At 35.5% G+C, this 27,988-nt stretch overlaps 2 long non-coding RNA genes across 2 annotated transcripts in view; one reads left to right on the forward strand and one right to left on the reverse strand.

The window, feature by feature from the left end:
- Nucleotides 1-27,988, forward strand: part of LOC105375148 (uncharacterized) — a 147,709-nt gene that overhangs the window by 17,473 nt on the left and 102,248 nt on the right. The gene's annotated exons all lie outside the window — the stretch shown is intronic.
- On the reverse strand, nt 244-27,911 carry LOC105375145 (uncharacterized). Its single transcript, XR_927021.2, has 4 exons — nt 27,672-27,911; nt 26,932-27,013; nt 26,702-26,829; nt 244-1,397 (listed from the first exon to the last, which is right to left on the reverse strand). It is a non-coding gene; the product is annotated as an uncharacterized LOC105375145 (long non-coding RNA).

Raw genomic sequence — 27,988 nt, forward strand, 5'->3', positions numbered from 1 at the left:
AAGATTTTAATTTTATTCCTAAATTTAAATATTTTGTTAAATGGTTTTTAAGTAAAAAGGTTGGTTATTGCAACAAATACAATAATGTTAAATAAACAATTATCTATCTGTCTTCTATTTGTATTATGTATCTACCTATTTTGTGTTTTTAGTGGAGACAGGGTTTCACCATATTGGCTAGGCAGGTCTCAAATTCCTGACCTTAGCTGATTCACCCACCTTGGCCTCCCAAAGTGCTGGGATTACAGGCGTGAGCCACTGTGCTTAGCTTAACTTTAATTTTTAAAAATATTCCATCCAAAAATTTATAAGACTAAAACATTGAAACGGCATACACTTTTACCTAAATTTACAAATTGTTAATACTATTATAATTTTTATGAGCCAGCTGAAATAATTAGTGGGCATTGTAACCTCACATCTCTCAAACTTAGAACAAAGAAATCATATTCCCTAATTTTGTACAATTATTAAATTCAAGTTTAAGTTTAATAACATATTATTTGATGTAATTCATATTAAAATTTTTACAATGCCTCCATTCACAATTTGTACGATTTTTTTTTCTGATCCACAATACAGTCCAGGATCATGAACTGCATTTATTTTATGCCTTTTAAGTTTTCTTTAATCATGCACAGTTTCTTTGTCTTTCTTAAGCTGACTTTCTTTTTTAGGAGAACAGGCCAAATGTTTTGGAGAATGTTCCTCAGTTTGTAACTATTAATTATTTTCCCAAGATTAGATTCAAGTCAGCTATTTTTGGCAGGAATACCAAAAAAGTGATATCTTCCCAGAGTATCATGTCACACTAATTGTGTCCCATTATTTGTCATGAAAATGTTGATTACTTGGTTACTGTGGTGGCTATCAGATCACTCCACTGTAAAGGCACTTTTTCCTTTCTAATTAATATGTAACTTATGGGGAGACACTTTGAGATTGTATAACTGTCCTATTAACTCATTGGTTTTAGCATCCATTGTCTGAATAATTATTTTGGAGATAGTTTTAATTCTTGACATGCTTTGTGCTTCCACTAACTTTCCTGAAGCAAAGCTTTCCCCAGGCTGATAGCTCTGGTCTCTTTCAAAGCCTCTTTAACCTTCATTTCAATTCCTCCAGGTCTCAGACATGGTGTCCATATCTCCCCCTTTGCTTTCTCTCTGAGAGTGGCATTTATCTGCATTCCCCTCTTGCTCAGACAGGGCTGCATTTTTCTCTTCTCCATTCAGTTTCTGCTTGATATTTCATTCTGGCATGGCCTCCAGAGCTGGCTCTCCAGATTTGAGCTGTGTATTTCTCCACTTGCACATAAACTGTTACAGCGTTTTGTTTCAGAGTCACATTACAGGTCTGATGACCATCGGTGGTTTTATATTTCTTTCCTGGATTTTCTGGAAGAGGGAAAAAACAAACAAAAAAAAATTGAAAGAGAGATTGAGAGATAAAGTAACAGAAACTGAGAAAAATAGAGACAGAGAGAGGCAGAGAGACAGTGGTTAGGAGGATGAACAAAGCATCAGAAGGAAATAAAATAGCATGTAATAGAATAAATATTTTATTGTTATTTTTGCCCCATATTAGGTCAGAATTTACTGAATATCTAACTTACCTTACCACTTAATTTGGTAAAAACGTGACCAAGTTAACAAGAGTTATTTCTGTAGGTGGCAGATGAATTTCCTGTTTTCAGAAGCCATCTTAAAACTGCGTTTCTTTCTTTTTTTTTTTTAAAATTATACTTTAAGTTCTAGGATACATGTGCACAACGTGCGGGTTTGATACATAGGTATACATGTGCCATGTTGGCTTGCTGCACCCATCAACTCATCATTTATATTAGGTATTGCTCCTAATGCTATCCCTCCCCCAGCCCCTCACCCCCCGACAGGCCCCGGTGTGTGATATTCCCCACCCTGTGTCCAAGTGATCTCATTGTTCAATTCCCACCTATGAGTAAGAACATGCGGTGTTTGGTTTTCTGTCCTTGTTAACACTGCATTTCTTTATTTGATAAATTGCACAAAGATCCAGGATTTAAAATTGTTGATGAATGTGAATGTAAAAGGAAAAACATATACAAAATGGTTTATGTTAACACACCACCAAATATTTTATGTTATGCTTTTCTTTTAAATATGTAACTTTCTCTAAAATGTATATGACACCAATTTGTAATGAAAAGAAAAAAAGAACAAATCCTTAGTTTGATTTCAAGATGTTTCTCACTTGCTGTATTTAACTAAGAAAGCTACTAATAGCCGATATATGGAGTTTTAGGGAAGTTTCAAGAGGTGCATTCAGGCTTCACTGATGTTTACTCATCCTTACACTCCCACACTTAAGGAATTTCACTGTATGTATTAAACTTAATGTTTTTACTAATGCATAGAATCGGACTTATTTAAATGGTTCGGTGACATAAGAGTATTAAGAGTGTATGAGTCACTAGTTCTCTCTAAAAATCTTCTGTAATAAATGAACTGTGGCAATCAAGTTTCCAAATTCTGTTAAGCATAAAATGTAAAGTTTGACTATTTCAACCTAAGAAATACATTCAGGCATTTTTATTTTACAATAGTGAGATGGTATCAAAATGGCCCAGTATAATAATACACTTAATTTGCCATGTGAAAAATGCATTTAATATTCCTGATGAAAAGAAGCTCTATTAAACTGAATGGCCTATTTCCTATTTTCAAATATCTTAGGTTCTTACAATGAACTTCTTAAAATATCCCAATGCTGCTGAATTGCTAGTGCATTAAGTGAACATTTCATTTACCATTCTCAGATAAATATACATATAAACTATGTTTTATTTAAGACGCTTAGCTGGAGTGTGAAACATAGTTAAATAAAAAATATTTAATAACCGAGTTTCAAATATTTAATAACCCAGTTTCAAAAGGTCAGCTTTCTATTTTAATTCCTCAGAATATGTAAATTCTTGACATCACCAGTATTTAATGAAAATTTTATTTCAATACTGTGAATAAATTAAGAAAGATCTTGTTAATACATCACATTGAAATGTTGATTGTATCTCATGCAAACTCTAAAATTAGAGTCTGTATAATGTTAAACAACTATATCTTTTGCACTCAAAGAGATTTTAATATCTGTTAAAATAATTTTTTTTGGCCTGGTCTCCTTGTTCCGTCTCTTCTTAATCAAAACCATTCTCCACATTATTTTAGTTAAATCAATAATTTCATCACTTTTGTGATGAAACTAAAACAAACAACTCTGACATCCAGGAACTAGCCTGATACTCACAGTGAAGCCACATGTTTTTCCTTTTGGATATAAACAATTTTAGAGAGCATAAACACCAGATAAGGTCATTTTGAGATCATTATAAAGTAACCCAAAACAAGGTCACTACTTAAGCCACAATATACTACACAATCCCTGACCCAGCTAAAATGAGTAACTGCTGCTTCTTTACCAATGACAGCTGTATCCCTCCTCTAGTCTGCCTAACCTATAAGATTTATTGAGATACCCCACTGTGGAATTGCCCCCTCTTTCTGACAGAACCTAATCTAGAATGAACTCTGCCTTCCCTAGATACTCAAAATTGCCTGACAAGAGCTCAATCCTACTATAGTTTTTTCCTAATATCGGTTATCAAGATAATCACCTTTCCCCATGGTGAGTGTTCCCCCTCATTGCAACAATAAGCCCATCTTGTTAATTATAGGTGTATTCTTTTTGGTTTAACAGCACATTGACATTGCTTCAGTGATTTTCTTTGTCTACATGAGTCCATCCAGTCCTTTGAACATGTCTTGCAAGATCCTGCATGCTTTTCTTCTCCTACTTGGCAGCTTATCAGCTGCTGCTACTTTTTCAAAAGGCAGCTTTTTCTTCCAATCAACTTTCCTATTCCCCAAATGCTCCATAATAACAACTAAGTCACAAGAAAAAATGAGGAGTTTGGAAGAGAAAAGTAGGGTAAAGAGGAAAAATAGGAACCCAAATTGCTCATGTGTTTTTATTTGAAAGAGATTTGTAGTGAATGCATCATGGCCTTGGCATCAGTTCTTTTATAAGGGAATCTGAGGAGAGCTAAGTCGAGCGTCTTACAATGCTTGTCTATTCTTTACACAAAGCTCTCATCAGCTAAGACTTTGTGTGGAAAATAATGTCATCCTATCAGTTAACCACAGAATCTGAAGGCTGTACTCTAGACCAATTAAATCAGAGGCACTGAGGGTGGCTCTTAGACATCAGTATTTTTGAAGTCCCCAAGATAATTTCAATGTGTAGTCAAGATCTATAGCCACCACTATGAAGAAAAACAAGAGAGTAATAAAAAGAATATTCAGCTGAGTGGTTGTTTCTGGCAAGGGGAGAGAGAGAAATGCATTCAGAAAGGGACTTAAGTATGTTGGCATATTCTATTGCAAAGGTGGGCAATGATGTGTTAGGTTTTACTAATCTTACTATTATATTAATATCACTATTAATAATTCTGACTGTACTTTACATATATTATTTTTTGAATGAAATGGTAATTTAAAAATCATTTATAAAATTCAAGGACGATAGATTTGCCTTTTATTTTCAATAATCCATTTAAGAGAGGTCCTTTCAGTCATCAATGCTAACACATATATAATTACTTAGATGCCACTAACCCAATTACTTACACAGCCTGTATGTAAACAACAAAGCTCCCCCACAAAAAAGTTAATTTATTGGATGGAGATAAATAAATTTCCATAATGAATATCATTGTCTTAAAAACAATAACAACAGAAACTTTTTTATGCAGCATCTTTTTCTCTTCTATAAATGAAGAAAAAATGAGAAAAAAAAACAGCATTTCGGAAATTCTGCTATTGCTGAGTGACTCTAAACTGAACTGGCAAAGGCTCTCTTAGAGCTACTGGAGACCGCACTAAAGAAGAGTTGGCATTTACTCTTTCTTCTACCCACAGGATACCAATATAAGCATTAGGAACACCAATTCCATGACTCTCCTAGTACTGCCTGGCAAAGTCCTGTTAAAATTCTGCAGCTAAATCTTAATGTTCCCCTGTCATAACCAGGGGGATACTAAATTCCTTTTTATATCTCACAGAAAATATTTTCCATTAAATGGCAGTTGATATTAAGGAAATGTTTGAGGGATTTGCTGATTATCTCAATACTTTGTAAGTAATTGACATAAATCTAGTCACATTGAAGTGATTATACTTGTTCTGACAGTGATAGGAAAGAATACCACTCAAAATAGGTTATTGAAAAGAAGAGTGCATTTGCTGTGTTTGAATACCATTTATTTACTTGTTTAAATTTCCATGTTATTTCAAACTACAGTAAGGCATTTTCAAGATTATCTGTAATTACTACAAGGATGGTAGTTCTGTCGTTTTATTCTGTTCCATTTTTAGTGGGAAAGTAATAATAAAGAAAGTAGTAAGGATATAAATGACATCTAAATCCTATGATTGTCACTCCAGCATAGATTTGATTGATCTGAGTTTGTATGTGCATAGGAATTTGAGCTGGATATCAAAGAGGATAAGATCCTAAGAGATATAAATTCAGATCTATATTAAGAGCTTTCATCTATCCGTGTCCCAGAAAAACACATACAGACAGCCTCTCAACAGTAATATAAATAAAACAGATGTCAGGTAATATATGTGAATAATACAAATCTTAGAAATACTTTCTGATAATTATTACAATAGCAATGTTTTCTGAATATTACTCTGAGGAAGTAGCACTAAGTAGTACACAGGTCTTCACACCACTGTTCATCTGGCATATTACCTATTTTTGTAAATAAAATTTTACTTGAACACAGCCATGACTCTTCATTTATGAATGTCTATTTCTGCATTCATAATACAGCAGCCTCATTGACTTGTTGCAACAGAGAACTTTAAAACTTGCACGTTGAAAATAGTTACTATCTGACCCTTTACAGAAAACTTTTATTGACCTCTAAAGTAGTAGATGAGAGTAAATATGGTACTTGCATTCAGGTTGCCTTACTGGTTACTGTGTAACTTTGGACAAATTACTTACTCTCTCTCTGCCTTAGTTTCTTCTTCCTTAATATTTCTAAGGCATGTAGAGTATCACCTATGGTTCTTCAAATTTGGGTAATGTAACAAATAATATCTTGTTAAATTTACCAAAATTATTTTCAGAATGAAAAATGCAAAGCATTTTTTAAAACAATGCAACTTTATTATCATCATCATATTTACAGATTTTCAGGAAATATCTGTTTTTGTAGTAAATATCAAAGTTATGGGTCCAGATTATCTAGCCTTCCAGGAAGTTATATTTCTCAAATCACACTTTATACTTTTATTCTCCTCTCACAAATGTATTTTTATCCCCTTCAGCAAATGACGTTTTGCCACTTGTAAAGTTAAGTGATTTGAGAAAATCTGTCATTTTACTTTCTTTGATAGTCCACAAAGGTCTAACTGCATCTTCCTTAGTATTGTTCGTACTATTTTTTACTTTATTTTTCAAAAAGAAGAGCATTAATTTATCAGGGGTTATGTTATTTGTTGCTTAGGCTTTTATCACTTTGTCCTTCTCTAGGTGGAAAAGCGATATATCCTGTTAGGAATGTTATGGTTTTGATAGTCCACCACAGTTATGTGCTGGACTGATTATGCTGGTTGAGGTTAATGGCACAAGACTGTCCACACATTCCTTTTCACTGGATCTATTTTCTATGGCCCTCCTTACTGATAAGGGAACAACATTTGGCAATGACACAGTAAATAGCAAGATTTTAACACTGCCAAGGGACTCTGTGAGTACTTAATGAGCCATTTTACTTTGCTAATTTCTTACCCTTTGCTCTGTGTTATTAGGTTAGTAGGCAAATTGGAACTATAAAGTCGAAGGCTGCCACACACATCACTGAAATAAATTCTGGGTTTTGGTTTCTGTGTCATTGTTTTGCAAAGCATTTTCGATGTCAGTTTTCAAGAAATGATACATTGTCTAATCAGAATGGTAAACATTGTCCTATGTTTGGGGATTTTGGCACTGAAATATTTTCATTTATTTTACCTTGGATCTGAATCCTCATTATTCCTCCTACCTCTCAGCTCTAGCGTGAATAGTTTGTGGCTTTCCTATGTCAACTAGATGATACTGTTAAAACAGATGAGATCCATCTCTATCTTCTGGTCTACAGTAATAATAATTTGATCAGATAATAAAAAGTAAAGATCCCAGAATTTGAAACATGATGAAGTCATAACAACAATAAAAGGATCAAATAATCTCATTCAGTATCAGAGTTCAGTCATAATGCTTGCAAATTTTCCATATGTCCTGAGACACACACATGCAATAGTCTACAGTACTCTCTTATTTCTTCTCATTACCCTCATAAATATAGCTTACTTCAAGCTGAGATACAATGGTATATTAAAATAGTTGACTTTACAGTCAGACTTTCTGGTTTTGAGTATTGTTTAGATCTATTAGCAGCATTGTAACCTAAGGCACACTCTAAATATTTTTAAACTGATTTCCCCAATTATAAAACATAGATAACACTCACATGTGCTTCATAGAATTATTTGAATAAATATGATAAAGCATACATATTGTTTATTATAGCACCTTAAACACAGAAGTACTAAAATGATAATATTAACCTCATAATTATTACTTAGCCAATAAAAGAGGGTTTGTGCTAAAATAAGTTATTATGTTACTACTTCTCTTTTGATCTATTTATATTCCTTCTTTCCATTGTGGATCCTCAGAAAATGCACAGAAAGAAGGCTAGCTGATTGGATGAGTGGTTGGATGGCTTCAGGAATCTTTTCATAAATAATCCTCCTTGAGTGAAACCCTTCATAAAATGTTTTTGTAATATCAACCATTAATACTCAGATTATCAACACAGATTCTATAAATTAAAATTTCTCTATAATCCGTTAGAACACTGTCATTTTACTTTATGCTGGTCTCTAGAAGCCATGCTATGACCTGATTAAGTATTATATTGTCATATTCTGGCCAGGAGAGCTCAACTGGACTTTGCCTTTATTTTTCTTTGTTTTTCTGTAAAAAGTAAAGAGGCTAGAAAATTAAAGAAAATAAAAAATTAACACATTGAAAGTCACACCTAGATTTTTCAGACTGTAACATTTTACTGTATTTGCTTCAGATCATTTATAAGAGGAATAACACATTGCAATTGCAGTTGGCGATTTCATCTTACTCCCTCAATTCTAATTCCAGTTTTACATTTTCTGCCAAAATGTAACCACCACCCTATTTGGCATTTTATATAATTCCTAAAAACATTTATTACTTTTATTTCATGCATCTCTAAATTATAGATAGATAGACATAGATGCAGATTTGTAAATATGTAGTAGTGCATCGCATGTTTTTAAATGGCATATGAGCCTTCATAATTCATATATTCTGCAATTCTTGGTTTTTACCCAACATTATCTGTAGAGTCCATATGTTGACTACAACAGTTTATTCATTCTATTCTTTATAGACATTGGGTAGTTTTCAGTGTGGGTCTATTTCAAATAAAAAGAAGGTACAGTGACATACTTGAATAGATGTTTATGGGCTTGCATTTTCCCTGGATAGAAGAGATAGACTTGGATAAAAGTGATACATGCTTTTACTATTACTGTATCTTTTTTCCTGTCATTGTCCAGGTATGAGAGTTCTCACTGCTATAAACTCTTTCTTATGTCCGATGTCAGACTTTTTTAATTTTTGCCAATTTTATGATTATAAAATAGACTTCTATCTTTAATTTTTATTTTCATGATTTATGAAATTGAAAATCTTTTAAATTATTTTAATAACATGACTTCTTAAAGTTTTCTTGAATGTATTGCTTATGTTATTTACCTGTTTATATTTATACGTTCATTTTTTTACTTTTTAAATTCATTTAAATATTCTTTATATTCTTCTTTTGTCAGTTTATTCATTGAAAGTATTTTTCCTCAGACTGGCTTGCTTTTCCTTTTTTTTTGTTTTTGTTTTTTCTCACAACAATGATTGAGCAAGATAATCACACATAAACATTATTAGCAGGTGCTGACAAATATATATTACCTCTATTTTGTGGCTTTACATAATACAAATTTTTAAAAAAATTAATTATATTGATCTTCCCAACAGGAAGAAAATGTCATTGTAGAGAATTTAAAGCTACAGAGAAGAATATGACACTTTTATGTAATTAATGACACAATTATTGTTGACATTTTGGGCTTCACTTTGTTTTGAAATTTTCCCCTATGAAAAACAGGACCCTGAATATTCATAGAAATAGACTTACTAGATGAAAAATTTATGTGCATTTTTAAGGATTTTGATTAGATATTTCTAGATTGCCTTCAGAAATTTTGCACCATATTATAATCCCACCATGAATTTATGAAAGTATATTCTCCTTCATTTCTTCTCAAAACAAGACTTAAACTTTCCTCATTCTTAATTATTTTAATTTAACCCAATGTAGCCTTTTCTAAATATTAAAAAATATGTATATTTTTTGAGAAAAAATTCTCTGAAATCAAAAATTAATGTAAAGTGGGTAAAAACACATTTAATCCATCCAGGAAAAAGGTATCAGTGCATACTCATTACAAACTTTGTGTAAATTTTTAAGCACATCTTCAGTTTTCTTCAAAAATCCTATTTGTTGGTTTTCATTTGTTTCATTGCTACTGTCAACAGAAATCTTCTTACGAGAATTACAAATAAATAGGAAAACTGTTGATTCCTGCTTCTTTATTCATTCTAGAAACATTATTCTTCTGTCATTAATTTTAAAAATAGTTAATGGATTCTTTTATGCTACCTAGATATGCAAAGATATTAGCAGACATAATGAAATCTTTTTCTCTGTATTTCTAATTGTTTATTATTTCTGTTTTATGAGTTAGGGATACTGATGATGGCATTTATCTACTTCACATTTTTAATTCTGAAATTGTGTTGTTTTACTTTCCAACATTACACACACTTATTGGATTGAGATGCCTTCTTTTTATTACATGAAAGAAATGCTCTTTGATTGCTTTTTTTATTTTTATCAATAATTAGGTGCTAAAATTAATGAAATATTTTTAAGCTTTTAAAATAATCTGTAATTATAGGCTTAATTTCACCTTTTATTGATAAATATGTAGGAAGGTATTTTAATAAATTTATAAATATTAGGTTTTGTTCTTGATGTTCCAATGTGTACTGGATAATAGTCAGCAAATGGATCCATACATTTACTATTTTAATGAGATTTTATTTGCAGTTTATTATATAATCAATTTTGATTAATACTCCTTTACGTGCTCAATAGAATTTCAATTGAGTTGTTAAATTATCCTGTAATAATCTCACTTTCACATTTTTCTTTATATTTCTGCTATTGGGATTTGTTTTATATATTAACAAAACAGTAATTTTGTTATTTAGTCAGTAAAGGTTCATGACTTCAGTTCACATTGTGGATTTTACACGTTATGAATATAAAATGGCCCATGAAATTTTTTTCCTTCTATGCTTTTTATATAAAATAAATACACCATATTTGTTTGTTTTGTTTTTATATTGTTATTTTCTGGCAAATCTTTTTCTATAATTCTATTATAGTTCCTGAAACAAAGCCTAAAATTTTAGTGGCTTTAAACATTAAAATTTTATTTTAATTTTGTATGAAAAGGTAAAATTTAGTTTGCCTAATTAATGGGAAGCTCTTCTCACACCAGTGATTCAGGAACTCGGGATTTCTTCATCTTGTTGCCTCATGGTCTTCACCATATGGCTACCATGGTTCTGCTGACACTGATATCAGCTGGCTGAAAGAGGAAAGGGTATGGTGCTGTGCCCTTGAGAAGATTTTACGCACCTGATCTTAAAGGGCAAACATTTCTACTCTCATTCTATTGGCCAGAATGTAGCATGGTAGTCAAACCTAACTATAAAGAAGGCTGGGAAACATACTTTTGCTCTACTCTCAGGAAGGAAAAATCAGTTTGGTCAATAACTAAACAAACTTTGCAGGTAATATTTTGAAGTACCTTTTTTAGACATCATTTATATATATATATATATATATATATTTTTTTTAATATTACTTTAATTAATTTATTTATTTTTGAGACAGGGTCTCACTCTGTCACCCAGGCTAGAGTGGAATGGTGATCTCAGCTCACTGCAATCTTTGCCTCCCACACTCCAGGGCACCTCTCAGGCTCCAGGGTGCCTCTTGGGCTTAAGCAATCCTCCAAACTTAGCCTCCCAGTAGCCGGGACTACAGGTGTGTGCCACCATGCCTGGCAAATTTTTGTGATTTTTTGTAGAGACAGGGTCTTTCCATATTTCCCAGGCTGTTCTTGAACTCCTGGACTCAAGCGATCCGCCAACCTTGGCCTCCCAAAGTGCTGTGATTACAGATGTGAGTGCCTCAACAGGCCTATGTTATACATGTTTTCACCTCCATTTTTTTCTTTTCATTTATAGCCAGAGGAGTATAATTTGATTATATTCATGTCATTTTGACATACTTAGCCTTATTTCTGTCAATTTTATGCTCTTTTTTCTCTGTGCTTGTACTTCTTCATTTTGATTTATCTGCTTAAATATTATTTGGTGATTTAAAAACATTTCCAAGTGCTTATTTATTTATTTATTTGTTTTTTTTTATTTTACCTTAAGCTCTGGGATACATGTGCTGAACATGCAGGTTTGTTGCATAGGTATACATGTGACATGGTGGTTTGCTGCACCTATCTACCCTTCATCTAGGTTTTAAACTCCACATGCGTTAGGTATTCGTCCTAATGCTCTTCCCTCCACTTGCCCCCACCCGCCGACAGGCCCCGGTGTGTGATGTTCCCCTCCCTGTGTCCATGTGTTCTCATTGTTCAACTCCCACTTATGAGTGAGAACATGTGGTGTTTGGTTTTCTGTTCCTGTGTTAGTTTGCTGAGGCTGATGGTTTCCACCTTCATCCATGTCCCTGCAAAGGACAGGAGCTCATTCTCTTTTATGGCTGCATAATATTCCATGGTGTGTATGTGTCACATTTTCTTTATCCAGTCTATCATTGATGGGCATTTGGGTTTGTTCTAAGTCTTTGCTATTGTAAATAGTGCTGCAATAAACATACATATGCATGTCTCTTTATAGTAGAATGATTTATAATCCTTTGGGTATATACCCAGTAATGGGATTGCTGGGTCAAGCCGAATCATGAGTGCATTCCCATTCACAATTGCTACAAAGAAAATAAAATACCTAGTAATAAAACTTAGAAGGGATGTGAAGGACCTCTTCAAGGAGAACGACAAGCCACTGCTCAAGGAAATAAGAGAGGACACAAACAAATGGAAAAACATTCCATACTCATGGATAGGAAGAATCAATATCATGAAAATGGCCATACTGCCCAAAGTAGTTTATAGATTCGAAGCCATTCCCATGAAGCTACCACTGACTTTCTTCACAGAACTAGAAAAAACTACTTTAAATTTCATATAGAACCAAAAAAGAGTCCTTATAGCCAAGACAATTCTAAGCAAAAAGAAGAAAGCTGGAGGCATCATGCTACCTGACTTCAAACTATACTACAAGTTTACAGTAATCAAAACAGCATGGTATTGGTAGAAAATAAGACACATAGACCAATGGAACAGAACAGAGTCCTCAGAAATAACACCACAAATCTACAACCATCTGATATTCAGCAAACCTGACAAAAACAAGCAATGGCGAAAGGATTCCCTATTTAATAAATGGTATTGGGAAAACTGGCTAGCCATATGCAGACAGCTGAAACTGGACCCCTTTGTTACACCTTATACAGAAATTAAATCAAGATGGATTAAAGACCTAAATGTAGGCCGAGCACGGTGGCTCATGCCTGTAATCCCAGCACTTTGGGAGGCTGAGGTGGGCAGATCAATAGGTCAGGAGATCGAGACCATCCTGGCTAACATGGTGAAACCCCGTATCTACTAAAAATACAAAAAATTAGCTGGGCGTGGTGGCAGACGCCTGTATTCCCAAGCTACTTGGGAGGCTGAGGCAGGAGAATGGCATGAACCCGGGAGGCAGAGCTTGCAGTGAGCCAAGATTGGGCCACTGCACTCCAGCCTGGGCGACAGAGCAAGACTCCATCTCAAAGAAAAATTAAAAAAGATTTAAATGTAAAACCTAAAGCCATAACAACCCTTGAAGAAAACCTAGGCACCTAGGCAATACCATTCAGGACATAGGCACGGGCAAAGACTTCATGACTAAAACACTGAAAGCAATTGCAACAAAAACCAAAATTGACAAATGAGATCTAATTAAACTAAGTAGCTTCTGCTCAGCAAAATAAACTGTCATCAAAGTGAACAGGCACCCTACAGAATGGGAGAAAATTTTTCGAAGTGCTTACTTTTAACTTTATTTTTTAAACATTTTTGTGAGTGTGAAAATATAGGAATTCTAAATATAGTACTTAATATGCACCTGGAAATCTCCAAAAAGCTTCAAGCATATTAACTTATCTAATCCTGACAACAACCTTATGACGTTGGTAGTATTCATAGTCCAAATTTAATCATGAAAAAGTTAACAAAATTTGTATTTCGCTAGTAAGATTGCAAATCTATGTGCAATTAAAATATAGCTTCAAAATGTATAAAATAAAAGTTGACAGAATGTAAAGGACAGATAAATAACAGCATTATATTGGAAAACAGTAAGTATTCAAACACAGACAACAATAAAATCAATAATTACATGGAAAATTTGGGCAACCTCTTAAGCAAAATTTATTCAATCGATATAAATATACTACCATACTCAACAAATGTAGGATGCCTATCTTTTTCAAGTACACAAGAATGATTTACATAAACTAATGATGTGCTACATTATAATTCAACATTTCAAAGAATTGTTGTCATACAAGATGGTCTCTGATCAAATTGGTTATAAGCTAGAAATCCAAACAAAATGAACATTAAAAAATGTCTATAAGTTCTAAATTACTAAATACATGTTTAAATAACTATTTAGGTTAAAGTAGTAGATACAATGCCAATTAGAAAAACTTGTTGAGTAAATAGTAAAGATATTACATATAAAACATTTGGGGAAATATAAACGTGCACTTGGAGTGATATTCATAGTCATAAACAAATGTATTTGAGAAGAGGTTTAAGATCAGTACATTAAGCATACTCAAGTACTTAGAAAGAAAGGAAGTAGAAACTTAAGCCCCCCCAAACCAAAGGAAACAAAATACTAAAAACGAAAGCATATATATATATATATATATATAAAATTTTTTTTTTTTAAGACAAGATCTCATTGTGTTGCCCAGGCTGTGCTCAAATAGTCCTCCTGCTTCAGCCTCCTAAATAGCTAGGAATACAGGCACAGGCCACCACGCCAGGCTAATTTTTATAGAGAAGGGGGTCTTCCTATGTTGCTCTCAAACTCTTGGTCTCAAGCTATCCTCCTTCCTGTGCCTCCCAAAGTGCTTGGATTATAGGTTTGAGGCACTGCATCTGGACTGAGAACAGATTTTTTTTTAAATGAAAATAAATATAGTTTAAAACAAAGTAGAAAAAATTTTGGTTATTTGAAAATATAAATATAAGTAAAATACTTGTGATGAAACTTACCACGGTAAGACTGGTAAAAAATTCACATATGCATGTGTACATGTTCACACAAACACACACACACACATCTCAAAATCAGTCGTGTAAAAGAGAAATCAAAACAGATTTTTAAAACACTAAAATATTAAGGCAGACGTCCATAGAAATATCACATCCAATGACAGAATACATGTTCTTCTCAACTGCATATGGTTCTCCAGAATAGACCATAGTCATAAGTCACTCCTGTATACATTTGAAAATTTATAAATCATAAAACTTATGTTATCTGTCCAAAATAGAATGAAAGTAGAACTCTTTCTATGAGGCCATGTTACCATGACACTTGAACCAGGAAAAGACATAATGAGAAAAAAACCAAAACACTATGTACAGATTAATATCTTCTATGATTACAGATACAGAGATCATCTACAAAATACAAACTAAATCTAGCAATATAAGAAGGATAAGACACAATTACCTAGTGGGATTTATCTCAGGAATACAATGATGTTGTAACATACAAAAATCAGTCGGTTTAATATGCCACATTAGTAGAATAATGAACAAACACCAAACAATCATCTCAATAGATATTTAAAAGCCTTAGAAAAAATTCAATGCCCTTTTATTATAAAACAGTCAATGAACTAGACATTGAAAGAAATTTCCTCCATCTGACAAATATCTGTGGAAAACCCATTGGTCATATTATACATAATCATGAAAGACTGAAAGCTTTCCTTCGAAGATAAGAAATAAGACATGATTTCCCTGCTTGATAGTTCTATTCAACACTGTATGGGAGGTTCTAGCCAGGGCAATTAACCAGGTAAATATGTTTTTAGCATACACTAGGACTGAACAATAGAGAAGGGCAATCTCTTCAAGGCTTACATTCGTATCTCCATGGAAAATAGGTTATATAGCTCATTGAATAGCAGAGAAGTTCACTGGGTGCCAGGCCAGAGCTGATCCACAATAAGTGGACAGCTTATGTCCACTCTGGAGTAAATGTACACTGAAGCTGTCAGACAGGAGTGTAGAGGGTATTGAGGTGCACATGGAGAAGGCTGATGTGAGAATATGCAGAGAGCTCAGTATGTGTGAGCCCACTCATTGGCAGGCCAGCATGAGATATAAAATATGCAGTGACTGCACTCAGCTCTACAGGAGACAACTCAAGGGAGTGTAGGTAGCCAAGTATGGCGGTTGGGTGCCCAGAAGTCATCGGGAACCTAAAGGGAATGTGTGCAGAGGAAGTCAAGAGTCTGTGTGCAAACAGGGAGACATGAGGTTTGGAGCGCATGGTATATAGGTCAGGAAAGCCACGGCAAGGTCAGGCTGGGATGGAGAGTTTGCTTAAGGATTGGCCCCTTTGAGCTCATGCCTGGGGCAGTACACAACTGCATGTTCTTCACATGAACTGCTTCAGCCTCACAGGAGAAAGAGGAAAAGTTTTTTTTTTTAATTATATATATATATATTATACTTTAAGTTCTAGGGTACATGTGCACAACGTGCAGGTTAGTTACATATGTAAACATGTGCCATGTTGGTGTGCTACACCATTAACTCGTCATTTACGTTAGGTATCTCTCCTAATGCTATCCCTCTCCTCTCCCCCAACCCCACAACAGGCCCTGGTGTGTGATGTTCCCCTTCCTGTGTCCAAGTGTTCTGATTGTTCGATTCCCACCTATGAGTGAGAACATGTGGTGTTTGGTTGTTTGTCCTTGCAATAGTTTGCTGAGAATGATGGTTTCCAGTTTCATCCATGTCCCTACAAAGGACATGAACTCATCCTTTTTTATGGCTGCATGGTATTCCATGGTGTATATGTGCCACATTTTCTTTTTTTTTTTTTTTTTTTTTTTTTTGAGACGGAGTCTCGCTCTGTCGCCCAGGCCGGACTGCGGACTGCAGTGGCGCAATCTCGGCTCACTGCAAGCTCCGCTTCCCGGGTTCACGCCATTCTCCTGCCTCAGCCTCCCGAGTAGCTGGGACTACAGGCGCCCGCCACCGCGCCCGGCTAATTTTTTGTATTTTTAGTAGAGACGGGGTTTCACCTTGTTAGCCAGGATGGTCTCGATCTCCTGACCTCATGATCCACCCGCCTCGGCCTCCCAAAGTGCTGGGATTACAGGCGTGAGCCACTGCGCCCGGCCATGTGCCACATTTTCTTAATCCAGTCTATCATTGTTGGACATTTGGCTTGGTTCCAAGTCTTTACTATTGAGAACAGTGCTGCAATAAACATATGTGTGCATGTGTCTTTATAGCAGCATGATTTATAATCCTTTGGGTATATACCCAGTAATGGGATGGCTGGGTCAAATGGTATTTCTAGTTCTAGATCCCTGAGGAATTGCCACACCGACTTCCACAATGGTTGAACTAGTTTACAGTCCCACCAACAGTGTAAAAGTGTTCCTATTTCTCCACATCCTCTCCAGCACCTGTTGTTTCCTGACTTTTTAATGAGTGCCATTCTAACTGGTGTGAGATGGTATCTCATTGTGGTTTTGATTTGCATTTCTCTGATGGCCAGTGATGATGAGCATTTTTTCATGTGTCTGTTGGCTGCATAAATGTCTTCTTTTGAGAAGTGTCTGTTCATATCCTTCGCCCACTTGTTGATGGGGTTGTTTTTTTCTTGTAAATTTGTGTGAGTTCTTTGTAGATTCTGGATATTAGCCCTTTGTCAGATGAGTAGATTGCAAAAATTTTCTCCCATTCTGTAGGTTGCCTATTCACTCTGATGGTAGTTTCTTTTGCTGTGCAGAAGCTCTTTAGTTTAATTAGATCCCACTTGTCAATTTTGGCTTTTGTTGCCATTGCTTTCAGTGTTTTAGACATGAAGTCCTTGCATTCAAATTCAGGAAATACAGAGAACACCACAAAGATACTCCTCGAGAAGAACAACTCCAAGACACGTAATTGTCAGATTCACCAAAGTTGAAATGAAGGAAAAAATGTTAAGGGCAGCCAGAGAGAAAGGCCGGGTTACCCACAAAGGGAAGCCCATCAGACTAACAGCTGATCTCTCGGCAGAAACTCTACAAGCCAGAAGAGAGTGGGGGCCAATATTCAACATTCTTAAAGAAAAGAATTTTCAACCCAGAATTTCATATCCAGCCAAACTAAGCTTCATAAGTGAAGGAGAAATAAAATCCTTTACAGACAAACAAATGCTGAGAGATTTTGTCACTACCAGGCCTGCCTACAGGAGCTCCTAAAGGAAGCACTAAACATGGAAAGGAACAACCAGTACCAGCCACTGCAAAAACATGCCAAATTTTAAAGACCATCAATGCTAGGAAAAAACTGCGTCAACTAACGAGCAGAATAACCAGCTAACATCATGATGACAAGATCAAATTCACACATAACAATATTAACCTTAAATGTAAATGGGCTAAATGCTCCAATTAAAAGACACAGACTGGAAAATTGGAAAACTTGTTTTAAAAGAGCAAGTACACCAGATCAAACTATTCTTCCTAAATCCCTCTCATGCCCTCTACTGACCAAGCTTAATATGGAGCTTACTGCAAAACTGAAATGCATCAATCCAACTCATTATCGCAGGTACTGAGGGGCAAATTTGAAACGGAGAGGTAATTAGCTGATATCTGGCATAATCTGGAAGAGGAAGAACAATGCAGGAAGACTTGCTCTATAAAATATAAGGAATCATAAAGCTTTAATAATTAAGTATAGTATTGCTGTGGGGATAGGCAAAGTAAACAACAGAATGGAATAGAAAGGGTGAAACAGACAAACATAAAACTATGACCAAAAAAGTGGCTCTTAAATATAGAAAAATAAAACTTTTACTAAATATATAAAAAATGTTTTAAAAAATGTTGCCTTATCTGATATTATAGGTAGATCACAGTTCTGAATGTGAAGGAGAAAGAGTAATGCTAATATGTAATAACATCATTTCCATAGGATAAAAAGATTTGTATTGAGGAAAAGTATACTTCTCATGAAAAAAAGATTATCGAATTGGACTTCTCTAAAATTAATACAATCTAGGCATCAAAATATATCACAAAGAATGTGAAAAGACAACTCAGAATAAGGGAAGATATTTGAAATACATGCCTATATCCATAAGGTATGAAAAACACCTACCTATCAATGTTTAAAAAAAGGAAAAAGAAAATTTCACAACAGACTTGACTAGGTACTAGAAAATATTGGACAACAAAATGGCAAACACAAAGATACTCAACCTTGTTATAATCAAGGAAATGAAGATTGAAACCACATGAGATAGCACTACAGCTATACCAAAATAGCTAACAGACAAATGTCTGTGAAGACATGGAACAATGAGAATATGAATTGTTCTAATCATTTTAGACAAATGTTTGACTTTCAGGTTAAGTATATGTAGCCCTTAAGACCTAGCAGTTCTACGCTATTTATTAATATATACATCACAGAAATATGTGCACAAGTACTTGAAGAAACACATACAGAAATGTTTCCAGCAGCATTATCTACAATAGAAGCTAAAATCAACCTATGTTTATCAACATTACAAACAATAAATAAATGTTAATTTAATGGAATATGATAGAGCAGTAAAACCAACTAAAAATAGAGCTACATAAATATATTGATAGAAAGAAGCCAGATGGATAAGAATACATACTTCAATATTCTATTTATGAAAGTCCAAAACAGGTAAAAGATACACAGTGTTTTAAAAGACAGTTTAACTTTGGAGAAGACAAGGATAATAATTGGAAGAAGGACATAAAAGGAGACTCCAGTGTGCTGGAAATGTTCTGTTTTAAGAACAGGGTAATAGTTACACAAGTGAGTTTGTTTTGTACAAATTTATTGGGTAAATATATATTTTATTCTTGACAGTAGATCAACTACAACCTGAGTTTTAGATAATTTTTAATACTTTTCACTCATTTTTAATGTCCTATGGTAGACAGGATGAATGAGATAGAGATCCAACAACTTAAGAAATACAATTTCCACGATATTGATTCTTCCTATCCCTGAGCATGGAATGTTCTTCCATTTGTTTGTGTCCTCTTTTATTTCGTTGAGCAGTGGTTTGTAGTTCTACCTGAAGAGGTCCTTCACATCCCTTCTAAGTTGGATTCCTAGGTATTTTATTCTCTTTTAAAATGACCATACTGCCCAAGGTAATTTATAGATTGAATGCCATCCCCAGCAAGCTACCAATGACTTTCTTCACAGAATTGGAAAAAAAAGTACTTTAAAGTTCATATGGAACCAAAAAGGAGCCAGCATTGCCAAGACAATCCTAAGCCAAAAGAACAAAGCTGGAGGCATTGTGCTACCTGACTTCAAACTATACTACAAGGCTACAGTAACCAAAACAGCATGGTACTGGTACCAAAACAGAGATATAGACTATTGGAACAGAACAGAGCCCTCAGAAATAATACCACACATCTACAACCATCTGATCTTTGACAAACCTGACAAAAACAAGAAATGGGGAAAGTATTCCCTATTTAATAAATGGTGCTGGGAAAACTGGCTAGCCATATGTAGAAAGCTGAAACTGGATCCCTTCCTTACTTGTACAAAAATTAGTTCAAGATGGATTAAAGACTCACATGTTAGAACTAAAACCATAAAAACCCTAGAAGAAAACCTAGGCATTACCATTCAGGACATAGGCATGGGCAAGGACTTCATGTCTAAAACACCAAAAGCAATGGCAACAAAAGCCAGAATTGACAAATGGGATCTAATTAAACTAAAGAGCTTCTGCACAGCAAAAGAAACTACCATCAGAGTGAACAGGCAACCTACAGAATGGGAGAAAATATTTACAATGTACCCATCTGACAAAGGGCTAATATCCAGAATCTACAAAGAACTTAAACAAATTTACAAGAAAAAATCAAACAACCCCATCAAAAAGTGGGCAAAGGTTATGAACAGACACTTCTCAAAAGAAGACATTTATGCAGCCAAAAGACACATGAAAAAATGCTCATCATCACTGGCCATCAGAGAAATGCAAATCAAAGCCACAATGGGATACCATCTCACACCAATTAGAATGGCGATCATTAAAAAGTCCGGAAACAACAGGTGCTGGAAAGGATGTGGAGAAACAGGAACACTTTTACACTGTTGATGGGACTGTAAACTAGTTCAACCATTGTGGAATACAGTGTGGCGATTCCTCAAGGATCTAGAACTAGAAATACCATTTGACCCAGCCATCCAGTACTGGGTATATACCCAAAGGATTATAAATCATGCTGCTCTAAAGCCAAATGCACATGTATGTTTACCTGACTGTATTATAGTTGTTCTGAGTATAAATTATAATGTGATAAAGAGGAAAAAACAAATAGGCAAAACTCAAAATATGAAAATTAATTTTCTGTGGGATGCTTGAGAAAACCATTTGAAACCTATTTCTTGAACTAAAAGTTTAATACAGCACATATTCAGAATATGAATAAAAAATAAATTTAATGTACAAAATATCAAAGTGTTTAATTTCTAAATAAAAATCATATTATTAAATAGCATATATTATAGAAAGTACCTGAATAGCTTTACATTAACTGGAACTGAATAACAATAAAAACATGGTAAGAGAAAAATGACTGTGTCTTGTGCCCAAATTCTGGGATACACAGACTATCTAAAGACATAGAATTTTTCTCATAGAGCATCTGAAATATTCATAGATCCTCCACTGGAATAAATTTATTGCTGCTATAAGGTATATAAAATGTTGATAAACTGCTTTCCTGACCTTGGAGAACTTTGTTGGCATATTAAGAGACTTTGATACATAGCAGAATGCAGACATGCTTTGTGATTTGTTGGATGCCTTGCTCTAGGTCTGCACTATTAGGTTCGTGGGAAACAAGGGGAAGCTTTAGAGAAGGCAGTATGTGCCAATGAGCGATAGTCTCACTGGCAAATGCCCCAAGTGAAAAACTCTGGGGATTTGAATGTTAAGCAAGTTCATTTAAACACCACACAACCCCAAACTTTATGACACATATATTGTTCCCTGCAGTATATCTCTTTGATTTTCTGCTGTCTCTTTGCTTTCCTCACTGGTAACATAGCATTTGACCCCCTGTACCTTGTTTACAAAGCATTGCCTTATGCAGCACATTGGGGCTCTAATGAGTGACAGCCATAGCTGGAGAGACTACAATAGTGAAAAGTAAAACCAAGCAGAGTTTTAATAACATGAGTCCTGAGCCCTATTAGCTCTACAGAAATGTCCTTGGAATATAAAGGCTTCAATGACAAACTGGGGTATGGAAAGTGGGAAATGCTGAAACGAAGTAAGCATTGGAAAAATCAATTGTCAAAATTCATTTTTACTTTATATCCCAGAAGCCTCCTTTTAAAACCCACTCACTACAAGATGTCTAGGAAGGGCTTTTAAATCATATTGTTTTCCTCTAATATTTAATTTGTAACTTTCATCTGTTTTATCAATGGGTGAGTTCAAGGTTAAAAAGTATACCTAGGCAACAAAAATATAATCAATTCACAAGTAATGAGACACAAAACTTAATATTTCCCATTTATTCCAATGTATCATTTATCGGATATTTCAGTGCTTTCCCACATAAAATCTATGCTGTTTTATTGACAAAAAAAATTCTATCATTTTTTTTTTCTGTTTTAAGAAAGATAATTAGGTGTATTTAAAAATATTTGTAATAAAGGAAAGGAGATTTTCTTCCTAATGGACTCGATGGACTCGGATCATGCTTATACAAGTCCTAGACCACCAGTAGTAAAATAACAATGGATAAAATTCCCTTTCCTGCTTCTTGCTTTGAATTTAGCAAGGATTACGTTTCAGCTATGTAGGTTCTACCCAGAAATACATTATATGTTCTTTTGATTTACCAATTAGCCTTGCATATCTGTGGATGCCTGAGAAGACAACACTAGCGCTGTGGGTTTTTCTCCATTCTTGTGCTATCAGCAAGTGCATTCTTGGTTTACAACTAGGAGACAAACATCTGGGACTCTCCTTGTGCTGTCTATAGTGGAGGTGGGAGCATTTATGCCTGCTAGACCAATAGTGAACTAGTGAACTAGTTAATTATTGGCTTTTTAATAAAAGTCATATATAACCCTACTTAGACAATCTAGCTTAAAACATTCCTTTTCAAAATTCTGGAGGTTGATGGATTTAACTTTTGCCTAGCAATGTTTTACAGACACAATGCCGCTATGCATTTTAAAATTTAGAATATTGGATGTTAGAACTTTTCAGTGAGTTTGAAGGAAATATCCATTTAAGTCATCTTAAAAACAATGTAAGAAGTTGCTATTACATCAACTACATTACTTAAATTCTCTACTGATTACACACGTGAATAAGACAATGCAACTTATAAAGCCTATTAGTTATTAAACATATTAATGTGTATTACCAGTTAAAGTAATTACATTGGTCAAATGTGATCTGGTCTGGAATTGCCTCAGTTCCTCACTTTTGTTGCAACGCAGAATCTATTTCACTACCTCTTTTACTCACTAGGCTTGACACTAAAAGTAATTAGATTTTAGTAAATTGGACTCTCGATTAGTATAATATTATTGGATATTTTTGTATAATATATATGGATGTTTTTCATTTGTTTTTCCAGACTCATCTTCCACTCTCTATCCTGCTCCATATGCCAGGAAGCTGACCTATGCAAGCCACATCAACTGGCTCCCTTGCCTTTTGGCTTCCAGTTATGTTGTGCTAATAGGAGGCACCAGTCACAGATTGGCCCATAAGGGAAAACGAAGATTTGCTAGGTTTTTCTACTGAATGCCAAAGCTTTTTTTTATTCAGTCCTCTTCATGCAATTACACTTTCATTAAGCAAACCTCCCAGTCCTCTTTGCCCTAGGGTCACTGGTCTCTCACTACTGCAGCTACATAGAAAGGGATGGTATTTGCCAACACCCTTTATCAGTTTCTGTAAGCTCTTTTAAAAACACTGGAAGTAATATCATTTTTTGTTTTTGCTTGTTTGGTTGGTTGGTTGTTTTTGTTTGTTTTTTACCACAGGAGGGGTTCATGGGCCTCACTCTGTTGCCCAGGCTGGAGTACACTGGCGTGATTATAGCTCACATGACTGAGTGGAGTGAACGCAGTTCTCTGGAGTGATTGTAGCCTCCAACTCCTGGACTGAGCCCATCCTCTTGCCACCATACCTAGCCTGAAATTAATACCTTAATTAAACTCTTCAGTCACCCACTTTAAATGTGCTCCTGGGCCAGGTGCAGTGGCTCATGCCTGTAATCTCAGCACTTTGAGAAGTGGAGGAGGGCAGATCACTGGAGGTCAGGGGTTCCAGACCAGCCTGGCTAACATGGTAAAACCCTGTCTCTACTTAAAATACAAAAATTAGTCCAGCATGGGGGTGTGCACATGTAATCCCAGCTACTTAGGAGGCTGAGGCAGGAGAATCGCTTGAACTTGGGAGGTGGAGGCAATAATGAACAGAGAGCTCACCAGAGACTCTGTCTCAAAAAAAAAAAAAAAGTGCTTCTGGTTTTCTACTAGATCTATGAATAATAGGTATAATTTTTTAGAGTTAACCTTTAGACATATTTTAAAAATAAGTATTAGCCAGGTGTGGTGGCGCAGGACTTTTCCTTAGTTCAGCAAAGACGGCGTCCTTGTCCGTCCCATGGCCATGGAAATTTAGGCTCGCGGACAGTTTGAAGGGTGAGCAAAGCAGGGTTTTACTGGGTGAAAAGGAAGAAAAGGGGGAAACAGGGACTCTGGCCAAGCAGAGTCCCTGCTAGAGGGCTTCCTGCAAGGCCATTTGAATCTCAGATTCCACACAGGAAGAGGAGGGTCCAGGCCCCTCCCTGCTGCAAATGTCATGAACTTTTTGAGACTCCACCCCAGTGGAGTCCGGGCTGGTTGAGGTTTCTTCAGGGACCCTCTCCCATCTGGCTGTCTCATTCCCCCCTCAAAAGAAGTACATCTAATTACCATTAGATTAAGGATAAGGACGAAGACTAATCATAACTGCTTCCTGCTGAGAGGGGGCACTGTTTGGGGGAAATGGCAGTCAGAGCTCCCTCAGAGGCCTATTTAAGGGTTCCCAGCGGAAGGGGTCATTGTCAGAGGTTCTAGTTGCATGACTGTGTGGAGTTTGATGGACCAGAGAACAGACAAAACGGGTTATTAGAAAACATGTACCAAAATGAAACAAGGAGGAGGTAAGGACAGCTCAACAATTTTGAGGCCTTTTACCAGTTTCCACAGGGAGAGGGAGGCTAAAAGCCTGACTGGCAAAATATTTCACCTTTTTGCCAGCATGTTGGGCTTTTGGATTCCCTTCCCCTGAGCCCAGTCTGAAGCCAACCAGTTTAAGGTTTGGGAAATTAATTCTTTCCAGTTTGGAAGATGCATCCGAGGGAAGTGTCCCGTAGTATGGAGACACAAGTACCTATCAGTGAAGAGAGGTCAGAGAAGGAGAGAAGAAGAAAGAGGATATTTTTGCAAAGCTGTTCCAGGAGTTCAGGATGCATTAAAAAGGGTACAGACTAGAGATGAATGGCTACCCATCTAGAAAGAGGGGAGCAGGCATCTCTGGTTCCCTTCTCTTCCTAGCAGATATGTTCCCTTCTCTTCCTAGCAGATACTCGGTGTAAGTGAGGAAGAAAGGGAAGAGTGTCCTCTTTCCCCCCTTCCATCCTTGCATCCCCGAGTCCTGGTGATCTTGGTACATCCTGCCATGAGTGCCAAAGCATCTTTCACCCATGAAGCAGAGAGGCCTAGAGAACAGAAATTATCTACTCTTACCTATGTCTCTCTCCCACCTACTGTCAGTAGCCTTGGAGTTCCCTAGACCTCATTTATGCCATGGATATTAACATGGCCTTTATCCATGAAACAGGAAGCTTGGGGTTGGCTTAATTGGCAGGAATCAGCCATGCTTACCTGCGCTGTGCCTTTTAAACTCTGTTGTCATCTGCCTCTGGATCCCTTAGATCCAGTTTTTTTTCCTAGGGCTTTGACCCAAAGCTTGGAATTGAGTCTGGGACAGACAAAAATGTGTCTCCTGGGGGATTGCATGGACTCCTTATCATAAGCCAAATGCTAAGGTGAAACTGTGGAACTGAGTCCTCCTCCAACAAGGGAGGATGTTTCATGATGCATTCAGATAACTGGTCACTATAGTTATGCTTGCTAAGATTTGGGTGCTTTGGCTAGCTCCCTTGGTTTTACTTTCCCAAAAGGAAACCTCTGAGGCGTCGGCATCCTGTTTATTCCAATCGCCTGGCAGGATTTTCAGGATAATTGCTCAGAGCTAGAATATTGATCCAGATTTCTACATCACCCATTCCTCTTGTTCTTTCTTAGCTTCAGCAAGGGATTGCTGGGTGATTTACAGGATCAAGCAGGGTTAGGCTAAAATAGGTGAAAACTTAAAAACAACTAATGAGTTTAGAATTTAATGACAAATGTACAAGTTTTGAAATATAATTTTTCTCTCTCCAGTCCTCATTTTTGTTAAAAAAAAATCATCATGGAACTAAATGGTTTGCAAAATAGACTTTTGTCTTAAACTTGCCTGATTATTTGCATACAGTGCAGCAAGAATAATTATTTCTTCATAGGCCTTTCGGATTGGCTGTGATGGATGTCTGTTCCATAAGGAAGGCCTTTTAAAGCTATGCCCAGCCATGGGTTTATCCTCAAATACCTGTGAGTTGGATGATTCTTTCCTCTTAAGATCCCAAGGTAAACTTGGAGCTCCTAGGCCTGTTAGAAAGTGACATTCTTTACTGACCACAGGTCAGGAACCCTGTACAGGGACTGTGTAGATGAGGGCATGAGCCCAGTCTCTCATGGGAATTTTATCAGCTCTGTAAGTAGAGCTTGACTCCTTAAAGTCAAGGGCAGCATACCCTTCCAGTCAAAGTCTTGGTAAAATAACTACTTTCTACAATTGTGTCCTGTTGCAAAAGAAAAATAGATTTTTATTGCACTAATGAAAACAACTATATTGCCATAAGAATACTCACAGGTAGGGTCCAAATCCTAGAGGAACCAGGCAGAGAGAAACAAACGTGCTTCAAATCTTGATTATGAGAGCATATACTTTACTTAATTATTTAAGGCCATAAATACTTAAAAATAAGTTTCCTTGACTCTGAAAAACAAAGCATGGATTAGCAATATTCCAAACAGTAGTCAAAAAGTTTGATTCAGGTTGCTGAGTTCAGTTCATTTAGTTAACTGTTGTTTTGCTTACTATTTGTGAACATTTCAGCTCTTCATGAGTCCTGTACATTTTCCTTTATTCCAATGTTATCATCTCTGAAGTTATCAAAAGCCTGCATTTGAGAGAACTTGTTAAAATTCTATAGCTCATTATAAACCATCTTTGAAAATGATTAAAACAAGACAACAACTATCTGTGAATAGCAAAATGTTCAGGGCAAGTACAGTTAGAAACACAATTGACAAACAAGTTTGGTTATCTCTGTGGTTTATAATAACTTAGCATTAACAACCTTAATTATGATTGACAGCTTATACTTAGACATTAGAACTTTAGAAATCTCATGCAATTTTGGAACATATATAAGCATTATTTACTAAGATACAACCTAAAGAAGACTGAACATCATTTTGGCAAGCCCATGTACCTGAACATGGCAAATAATCCTGTTTACCTCTCTTTTTTGGACACTTCAGAGGCCCTCTGAAGTATTCAAAAAGCCAGGTGCCAGGGAAGACAATTTTGAAACTGAAGTTTGATTTTGGGAAGGCTGTTAAATGTTCGAGGTTTTAAACACTTGATATTATAAAATAGAATTCCAGATTACCGTAAGTTATTTATTTTGCCAAAATGATTACTCAGAAATTTAAGAAGCAAAAACCTTTTATAACCTTTTACAAATTTTGCCAAAGAGCAGATTAGTGCCTTAGGAAAAGCTTGTTATGCTTTTATTTCAATGCTCAATTTACAGAAAAAAAAACATATAATACCCTTTTTTGAATTTGGTCAATATGTTCACACAAAGAACCTCTTCTGCAAGATTAATTTCCGCAATGCTTCCTCCACTTGTTTGAACTTTCAGCTTTTCCTAATTTAAATTAAAACAATCCTTTAATCCTAGGCCAAAGTATTCCCATGCCTTCTTATAACCTTTTACAAACACACACACACACATTTTACTGTTTTTACATACCTTGATTGTAAATCTATTTCCAGTAGTCTCAATTACATGTTATAATGGTAACTCCTCGCAATTTTTAACTTTAAGGTAAAACTTGGTAAGTTGCTTTAATTGTGTGATAACTGA

Source organism: Homo sapiens, chromosome 7 (genome assembly GCF_000001405.40).
Source record: "Homo sapiens chromosome 7, GRCh38.p14 Primary Assembly".
Lineage (NCBI taxonomy): Eukaryota > Metazoa > Chordata > Mammalia > Primates > Hominidae > Homo > Homo sapiens.